A 9,022-nucleotide genomic window follows, 5' to 3' on the forward strand; every position below is an offset into this window, starting at 1 on the left:
TGGTTATAACTGTCCCAAGGAAAAAATATTGTTAAGGGGTTTGAATAGTATTTTCATGGAGGGAAGGATGGTCAGGGAAGGGCATTTGTGTTCTAGTACTGAGTGGTCGGTCTAAACAGGCACACAAATATTTTTTGTGGAACAAAAATAATTGGCCCTGGAATATGTAGCTATTTGGAACTAGAAGTAAGGCTATAGCCCAGATGACCTTTCTCCAATGCAGTGCTCCTTCCAGCTAAGATATTAACTCTCATCCTGGTTCACTGTACCTATCTTGGTATTTATTCACCAGCTCTTCTAAATTGTTGTGGCTTATTTTTTGAGAATGGGAGAATCAGATAAATTTTATTAAAGCTGTATGAAAATTAAGAGTACATAGGACCTAAGTGTGATTAGATGATTTAGAAATGTGCTTCTGTGAGTAACAGACAGCAATTACATGTATGGATTTTGTGAGCCAGGTATTCTCAAATGGGGAAGTGGTAATAGTCCACCCCAGGTGCAGGCAATAGGTGCATTGCTTTTAGATAATCTAAAAATAACAATGAAACCAATTAAAATCAGTCTGTTTCTATTATCATCATGCGCCAAGAGTTTTAATAACGTCAGTGATAAAATACCCCTTTGTGTGGATGGCTCCCATCTTCTATCACTGAGATGCCACGAGTAAAATTCAGTGCTCACCTGTGGAAAATGGACCACCCTCACTATTGTAAACAGAAAGGATTTCAATAGAAAAAAACTGGGCTCTTTCAACACTGTGGGAAAAGCTAGAGACACAGGTTCTAGGTTGAGAGTAACTCCCAGAACATGGCATAACCACAATCAAGAACATGAGGGCATCAGAAAGCAACACTGGGCGCCTGGGCTTTAAGGAGACTTTGCTGTTGCTGCGGCCCAGAACTGAGGGGGCAGCTACCGCTCAGCAGCGATGGAGCTCCTGACTGCTGCGGCCGAACACCCAGCTCTTTAGGACTTCTCTCGCCAGAGGCAACAGCAAAGCAGCAGTCAGAGGGCTTCCCCCTCGCTCTGGCCTCCTGATAATGACCTGCTCACACTTATCTCATTCAGACAACCTAACTGATGACCAGAACTCCAGCTGCCAGGAAGTCTTGGAAATGTGGTTTTCATGTTTCTAGTTTGTGAAATACAGAAGGACACACAAGCAGGAGATTGGAAAGGATACCAAGAGCCTATCAATATTGTACTCTTCCACACACCCACCATACTGCCACTCCATATCTGATACCTCTTGCCACCCGTATTTAAGTGGTCACACAATAACAACGTCATAGTAGGCATATCCCACCTAATGTAATGTAACTATCCCTTGCCCAAGGTAACATGTACTTACCTGTCTCAAAAAAAGGGAGACCTGAGCTGGGCGTGGTGGTGCGTGCCTGTGATCCCAGCTACTCAGGAGGCTGAGACAGGAGAATTGCTTGAATCTGGGAGGTGGAGGTTGCAGTGAGCTGAGATCACACCACTGCACTCCAGCCTGGTGACAGAGTGAGACTCCATCTCAAAAAAAAAAAAAAAAAAAAAAGAGAGACCCGGAGTCCTATAAATTACTGCCTCATCCCTGGATCGTGGTATATTTTGATACTGCCCTGCAATCCTATAGTCATAACATTCAAGCTAAATCAGTTTTACTATAACAACATACCTTATAAACAAGCAACATGGAAAATAGATGAAGGAAAAGGAAATTGTTTAACAATTATAAGTATGTGCACAAACGAATAGAATAGAGAAGAACTTAGGGGAGGCTATTGAAGTCTTTGTTTCTGCAGCTACTCTTAGAGCCATATTTGGTATTAATAACTTCCTTCCTTTACTACCCATTCTCTGGCCCAATTTGTCAGGGCTTTATACCTGGGGAGGTGAGGTACCTCATCCTTCCTCACAAGCTGAGCCCTGGGTAGTCCTGCCTATAATGGGCTGCTGAAAACATCTGTTAGCTTTTGTAGCTGTATACGGGGTTCGTGGAGGAATTTCAGAGAATCTCCTGGATTTCAGAGCGTCCTTTCCTGCTGGCGTTCTGTTGCAGCAAAGCTATTACTCCTTAGAAATCAGTATCAATGACCTGGGTCAACACAGTGACCCTCTTTTTTGGCCTGCTGGTCCCATGTCACCTGGTGGTCCAGTTCAGTGGTACAACCTTTGTGGAAGTATTCACATATTGGGTGATGAGAGCTCTAACTAGCAGAGCTCAAAGTCATGGGAAGAACAGTGAAACCTTTAGGAGAGAGTGAATCATTAGTTGAGTTAGTGAAAATACGATTCCTCCTGTAACCCCTGAGTTTCCAGACCCATTTATTCTGGCTGTGGGAACTCATTATCATATGTTAATCCCTAATTCAAAACATGCCATTCACTTTGTAGGAATCATGTTGACCTCAGCTTTTGCAATTACTGAGACATCTATAAGCCTTTCCATCATTCTCTCGGGCCAGTTACTTCTGGGACTGTTGAATTAAACACAAAGATGTAAACTATGGATCACCACCTTTGCTGTCATTTCCACAACCACCTCACAACACCTGTGAACTAGTGACTGGACCCTGAAACCACCCCGCAGAAAATCCCCAGGTTTCCATGGCTGTGTTCACCACCAGCAACAGCTGAAGTCGTAAGCAGGTGGACTCCACAGCACCTCCAACTTCCAGTTCTTGCACCAGAGCATCTAACTCGGAGAAATTCGTTCACAACCAGTACCCTAGATTCAAAGGAGTCTAGGGTTTTAGCTTTCTGGTTTTTGCACAATAGGAAAGTATACCACACGGTGATTGAGATGGATGCTTCTCCATTCACAACAACATTTCAAAGAATTCAAGTAAAGTAAATGAATAAAAAATTGTCACAGTGTGTTAAACGCTGCTTATTAACAATATCATTCAAATGCATACTATGTTGTACATTTGGCAGAAGATGGGGAACATACATTACAATAGTTACTGAATTCTCACCGTGTCTCTTTGGGTTTGGTTTTGTCATCTCCATTTTGTTGACTAAGACAAATACACAGAGAGTTGAGTTAATTCATCCAAGAGTATACTGCCAAGATTTAAACAAGGGTTTATTTTCCTTTCACTATTTCACATTGCCTTTTAACATCTATGTGAGAAATGTAAAGATTATTTTTTATTCTTGCTCAACGTTGAGATAGAATGTGGCAGCTCTTTTCCTCCCATAATTAGTTGTGTAGGTTGCACACTGCAAAAATCTCGAGGGCACCACCACATAGGCATAATAAAGTACCATACAGTTCTAAGCATTATAGAATCGAAAGCCTTATTTTCTTAACTTGTATCTTTCTCTGGGATTTATATTTTCCATTATGCTCCTCAATTTAAAGAAATGGGACTTTTAACTGGGTTTGAGAAGTGAATTTGCTGATTTGCCTCAGTTGCATTCATTTGAATCATAGTAAGTGAGTTCTCTTACTGGAAGATTTTTTTTTTCCTTATAGTTAAAGAATCAGTCTGAACATTTAGGATCAGAATATGAAATGAGCTTACTTTACTTGGAATGTTCTTCTGTGTAAGGAGTTGGGCGTTTCATACTCAATTTACTAACTATATATATTTTCATTTATGTACCTAAGGAATCCTGAATATTTTTTCCTAAAATCTTAGAGGAAAAAAAGCATGAAACAAAAGGTGAAATACCATAGCTATGGTGTGGTTAGACTACAGTTGGAATTAGTCTGTTTTTCTTTTTCTTTCTCCCTGGAGCCATTTCAGAAATGGAAGATTTCCTTAGATACTAATTTTCTCAGCACGGGTTGGAAAAACAAGCAAACAAGAGGGCCTAGATTCTAAGTCACATCATTGTCTGAGAGAAAAAGGACTTCAAACTTTTTTTTCTCAGTAAAAAAAAAAAAAAAATTCCATCAGAACAGCTGCTTCCATTTCCTTTGAACTTGTGATGGTAGAAACATTTTGGTAACTTTGTTAGCAGGCAGTAGGATTGGTAGATAAGGCTCTTTTTAGTCTTCTTCTGGCTGTCCCTGCATCTGAACCCTCTGTTGAACTTCCGCTGCACTTTATTCTTACCTTTTCCCTGGTTCTAAGGCACCAGAGAAACAAAAGTTGAAGGTGAGCAAGGAGCATAAAGTAGAATTTTTAAAAAGTATATTCTAGAGCAAAGAAATCCAGGGAGAGACCCCAGTTCTTGATTCTACTCTTCATCCTGAGGCCATAGCCTCCATTTGTGGTTTTCTTCTGTTACCCTTTCCAGGTTCCCCTTGCATTTAGGCAACACTTTAGCCATCATTTTCTGGGTAGGGATCCCAATCCTCCTCCCTGTCCCGAATATGGCAGCTCTTTTCCTCCCATATTTAGTTGTGTAGGTTGTGCACTGCAAAAATCTTGAGGGCACCTCCACTGTCTGTGGAGCTGCAGTAACTGCTCATGCCCCTTCTCCACTGAGTAGCCCTCCATTCCCCAAATTGTCTGCATGTTTGCTGAGTTTCCTGTTGTTCAACAGCAACCTTCTTTCCCCCGGATTAGGGGATCAATTAGTGCAGCCAATAGCATGAACTCTATTCACATCAGCCTAACCTCCAGGGGCTTAAAGAGCCCCAGTTGGCCTTGTGGCTGTCTCAGGGTTCAATTTGATGACACAGTTCTTGTGTCCCCTGCCAGAGAGGTTCCTCCCTTGGTTGAAAACTCTTCAACATGGACCAGAATCCTGGAGATGAGAAACAAACATGTAGAGATGGGTCATTCGACATAATGAGGGGTGCTACAACCCTGAGCCCTGCATATTGTGCCAATGAGGAGAAATCCCATAAAATTCAGAGGAAAAATCCGGTTACTTGTAGAAAACTGGCCACAATAGCCAATACACAGAGTTATAACACAGAGTGATCAGGGCCATGGAAGAATCTAGAGCGGGGGTTCTATGTAATCAGACATGAGATTTTACAAATAGATCTGTGGGCATGAGAGACTGGCAGGTCCAATGGGCAGAGGAAGCGAGGTCTTGAAGGTAGAGTGAGAAGGGGTCAGGCAGGGAGCAGCTTTCTCAGCAGGGAAGAGCCTGTGCTGGGGCATGAGGAACTACGTGTGGCCACCGGGACAGACAGGATGATGTGGAGAGTCATGGCGAAGAGCAAGGCAGATCTGGGTTGAGTCCTGGGTCTGATTCTTTCCAGCTGTATGTCCCAGGGTGATTAACCTTTTTCTGTGTATGTCTCCCTATTTTTCTCATTTACATACGTGTGTGTGTGTGTATATATATATATATAAATTAGTAACAATTGTACTTACATCATTTTAAATGAGCCAGTCTAGAAGACATCAAATGAGGGCAGACAAAAAGCAGAAAGTATGCTGAGATTTTTGCATGTGATGCAATTGTTTCTGGAACTTATTTTGGGCTATCTAAAAGTATAGTAAAGTATCTTATGCTCACTCTGTAGCTTACCTTGAAAATGTTCCTCTCAGCTTCCATTGGAAAAGTGCAAACAGGCCACTTGCAGAGCTTGCACTTTTGCTGAACTAGGGAAAAGGGGACTTACATAGTTTGGCTGTGTCCCCACCCAAAATCTCATCTTGAATTGTAATCCCCATAATTCCCACATTTCAAGGGAGAGACCTGGTGGAGATAATTGAATCATGGGGGCGGTTTCCCCCATGCTGTTCTCAGAGTGAGTGAGTTCTCACAAGATCTGATGATTTTACAAGTGTTTGGTAGTTTCTCCTGCATTCATTTTCCTTCCTGCCACCATGTGCAGAAGGTGCCTGGCTTCCCCTTCACCTTCCGCCATGATTGTAAGTTTCCTGAGGCCTCCCAGCCATGCAGAACTGTGAGTCAATTAAACCTATTTCCTTTCTAAATTATCCAGTCTTGGGCAGTTCTTTATAGCAGTATGAAAACGGACTAAAATAGGGACATTCAGCACAAACTGGAAGGGAGAATGTGGGAGCAGGATTTGTGGAACTGGTCATTTACCAGCAACTGGCCTTCATGCTTATATGAACATTTTCATACATCTTTGCCTCCTCTGAGTCACACGGATTGTTTATGAGGCTGACTGCTAGTTGGGCTTACTAGTGTAGATGCTGGGAGAATATGGGGCACAGGAGTTGTTACATATCGATGCCCTCTCCTCCTGCTGCCACCCAGATTGTGTGGTTGGCTGAGTCCCTCTCCTGAGGGCCACAGTTCCTTTCAAGCAGCCTTTACAAGGTCTAGAATCTGCTCCTACCCATGGCTCCTTCGAGAGTCAGGGGTGCCAACATCTCCTGCTGTTGCTCACCTTGGGCCACTGCATAATCCCTCGTGCATTCCCCAAATGCTCTGCATACATTTGTAAATAGTCATTTTAGTAAAAGCGCCTCAAATCACCCAGCTTGAGAGGGCTGTGAGTTTCCAGTCAGGACCCTCACTGGTCCACAATGGCAGAATGGTTACCATGGGAAGGAGGGAAGGGTGGGTGCCATGTGGCAAGGCCAGGGAGTCAGCAGGAGTGTGGTTAAGGAAGAAAAGTTGGGAGGCTGAGGCAGGAGAATGGCGTGAACCCAGGAGGCGGAGCTTGCAGTGAGCTGAGATTGTGCTACTGCACTCCAGCCTGGGCGGCAGAGAGAGACTCTGTCTCAAAAAAAAAAAAAAAAAGAAAAAGAAAGGAAAGTTGCCACATAGGGGAAGGAGGGAGAATGAAAAAGATCAAGGGGAAAAGCAAGAAGAATCAAATGGAGAGGGAATTCAGGGAGGGAATTCAGAGAGCTCTCGAGGCAACGGGATACTATCTGCACGACCCTTTCTATAGCCCCAGATCTCAGGCGAAATTCAGCAAGTGCAGGCCAGCCAATTGGATCCTGTGGGCATGAGTGAGTGCATGAGTGTGTGTGGGCATGAGTGTGTATGTGTGTCCTTGAATGAGTGTGTGTGCATGAGTGTGTATGCATGTGTGTGTGCATGAGTGAGTGTGTATGTGTGTCCTTGAATGAGTGTGTGTGCATGAGTGTGTGTCCTTGAATGAATGTGTGCATGAGTGTGTGTGCATGTGTGCGTGTGTGTGCATGAGTGTGTATGTGTGTCCTTGAATGAGTGTGTGTGCATGTGTGTGTGCACGCGTGTGTGTGCGCGCGTGTGTGCGTGCATGAATGTGTATGTGTGTCCTTGAATGAGTGTGTGTGCATGAGTGTGTGTGAATGAGTGTGTGTGTGCATGAGTGTGTATGTGTGTGTCCTTGAATGAGTGTGTGCATGAGTGTGTGTGTGCGCATGAGTATGTGTGTGCATGAGTGTGTGTGCACATGAGTGTGTGTGTGCATGAGTGAATGTGTATGTGTTAAGTGTGTGAGTGCATGAATGTGTGTGTGTCCATGAATGTGTGTGCATGAGTGTGTACATTAGTGAGTTTGTGTGGGCATGAGTGTGAGTCTGTAGACTAGTGAATGAGTGGAGAGCAACCCAAGGTGAAATAAACACTAACATTCCGAAAAAGGGCTGGGGCAGAGGGGATTTAGGCAACTATGTTCTTAGGGATTTATAGAAACTGGAGGACAGAATTTGAGGAATCTTTTTCCCAAGGCTTTGAAACTGGGGGTTTGAGGACCGTTTACCTAAATCATCAAGGGGCAATGTGCCCCAGCTGCCAGGTTACAGCTTGTATTATCAATTAAGTGCTAAATTGAAGAGGTAAATCACCGTAGTGACAAGCGGCTTCTCCAATATAAAAAAGAGCTCAGCTTTTTTTTTTTTTTAGACTTTAAGATAGTCTATTTAAAAGGAGCATGCCAGACAGCAGCTGGTTTTGGCTATGAGGAGAGACTGGAGTTGAACCTGCGTTTAAAATAGAGTATGTTAGTTCAGAGACTGAAAGCTAGACAAGAATGGCCAACTATTTGGATTCTGTAACATTTTAGATAGATTTTAGAAACCCAAGTGCAGCATTTTTTTTCTTGGACTCTTATTTGCACAGAAAAAGTTTGTTAATATCAGTTCAAGGAGATTAATGCTAATTTGCATTCATTTATGCAAACAGTAGCTCTTTAGGAAATCTAGAATGTTGAAGCTGGAAGAGAAGGTTTACTCATTCCTCATCATTTGGCATATCAGGAAATGAAGATGGAAGCTTCCGACTGCTTGCCAAAGGTCATAATGGAGACTGAATGAGAATCAAGGTTGTCTGAATCCCAAATGGTTCTCTTTTCCCCGCATGTGCTGCCTCCTGTTTGGGGATTTCCATTTCTTAAGAAAAAAATCATCAAAAAGCAAGATGGTACATACCAGAAAAACACTTAGGAGACAACACAGTGATTTGCAAAGAATGTAAATTTTGAGGATAAAACTGATCTGAAATTGAATTTCTGCTCTGCTGTTTAGACTTCTCCAAGTCTCAGTATCCTCCTTGTAAAAATGGGGTCACAGTATTTGCCATGCGAGGAAGTATTAAAGATTATGGAAATGTTGTGTGAAGCACATCGTAGGACACAGCTGGTGATCAGCAAGTGTATTGACTCTACCCCAGCGAGGCAGCTCAGCCTTTTGCAGTCTTAGCCCAAACAACAAAGGATTCCCTCTGTGAGGCCATGCACAATGAAGTGTCATGATGCCACACGGAGTTTGTCCCAGGGAGGCTGCTGTGAGTAGATGTCTGGCAGAAGCTCCTGCTATCATATCCATCTTGTGTCTTTGTAGCTGATGTGATGAGAATGATGGCAAACATTTGCATTCTGGCTTGCTTCTGAGTGTATTTGGTCTTGAGGTGGATTGTGCTTCACCTTATCCCACATTAAACAAAAATCATGTTGAAGGGGCATGACTTTCAAATAATTGTCACTTTGGGGTTTCAACAAGCAGTCTAGATGAGTTGAATGCTGAAATTTGCTATTTCTGGGTGAATATGATAGTATTGAGGAGGAAAAAATGAGTCATCCCTAAACTCATTCTTTCCCCATTTGTACCAGAAATCACCTATTTACTCTATTTCCCCCCCATTCCCCTACTCACGTGCCTTGTATGTAATCTCAGAGTCTTAAGCTTTAGCAGGCTGTGAGGGTGATGTT

General features: G+C 43.0%; 1 annotated feature.

Moving 5' to 3' along the window:
• Positions 8,252 to 8,781: an enhancer, noted in NCBI's record as "OCT4-NANOG hESC enhancer chr2:7330592-7331121 (GRCh37/hg19 assembly coordinates)". NCBI's record gives its function as "activates a minimal SCP1, AML or CMV promoter by ChIP-STARR-seq in naive H9 embryonic stem cells {active_cell/tissue: H9 hESC(naive)}" and the evidence as "EXISTENCE:reporter gene assay evidence [ECO:0000049][PMID:30033119]".

This window comes from Homo sapiens, chromosome 2 (genome assembly GCF_000001405.40).
Source record: "Homo sapiens chromosome 2, GRCh38.p14 Primary Assembly".
Lineage (NCBI taxonomy): Eukaryota > Metazoa > Chordata > Mammalia > Primates > Hominidae > Homo > Homo sapiens.